This window comes from Homo sapiens, chromosome 5, assembly GCF_000001405.40.
Source record: "Homo sapiens chromosome 5, GRCh38.p14 Primary Assembly".
Taxonomy (NCBI): Eukaryota; Metazoa; Chordata; class Mammalia; order Primates; family Hominidae; genus Homo; species Homo sapiens.
This window is the reverse complement of record NC_000005.10, coordinates 112,064,846-112,065,735: the sequence shown is the minus strand read 5'-3', so window position 1 is coordinate 112,065,735 and position 890 is coordinate 112,064,846. Positions and strand designations below refer to the sequence as shown.

Sequence of the window (890 nt, the reverse complement as noted above, 5' to 3'; positions counted from 1 at the left end):
ATAAATCCTGGACTTAGAGAATTTATAATTCCTTTCTTCTGTCTGCGTTGTTCCAGACAGGTCTAATGTTTACAGATGTGTGTGTGTGTGTGTGCGCGCACGCACGTGTGTGTGTGTGTGAGAGAGAGAGAATAAGAGAGAGTAAAATAACATAATGTTAAAGGAAAATAAAAGACAACAATACAAAGGCATGGATATTAGAATGAAGCAAGGGGTGAGGTGTACAAAAGATACAAACATATTTGTGGCTTTGGAGATACAGAAGTATTCCTGAGGCTGGGGACAGGCAGGTATTTTCTGAAGTCTTAATAGAAATGGCATTGTGTGATATAATGAATGACATTCTTGACAGAGCTCTTCTGTGGTGCGTTGTTGATTGTGCACATCTCAACATAGGTCAATGGCTTCACACACAACAACGATTGAGCAAAATTATTTCTACCAAGAGCTGTTACATGGACCATGTATATAGCTGGATGAAAGGACCAGAACTTTCTTCTGAGGCAAAGGTGCTCTGGAAAGGAATGAGTAGAGGTAGCTGGGCTTGCATGTCTTTCTGACCCTCTGTGCTTCTTTAGTGCTTAAGAGTCAAGAAATGACTAAGTGCATCTACTTTTACAGAGGAGGAAGTGGCTTTCTGCATAAAAGCAAGAAAAATGGAATGGACTGAGGCTCATTATGTACATTTAAGCAGCCTATAACTTGCCCTTTCCTCGTTAATTACATAATTCTAGATGTGGACCTAGGTAGGCTCTTTATCCTCTAGAGGAGCAGTTATTTATACAACTAAAAATCCACAGAGTATGGATAAAATACGAATGTGCTTTAATGATCCTTTCTGTCCGAAGGCCCAGTGGGGCTAATTCAGAGCTACCCACATTGCACAACTT

At 40.2% G+C, this 890-nt stretch overlaps 1 annotated feature.

Annotated features, from left to right (window-relative positions):
* Positions 493-632: an enhancer, noted in NCBI's record as "active region_22904". NCBI's record gives its function as "activates an Ori minimal core promoter by ATAC-STARR-seq in GM12878 lymphoblastoid cells {active_cell/tissue: GM12878}" and the evidence as "EXISTENCE:reporter gene assay evidence [ECO:0000049][PMID:35858748]".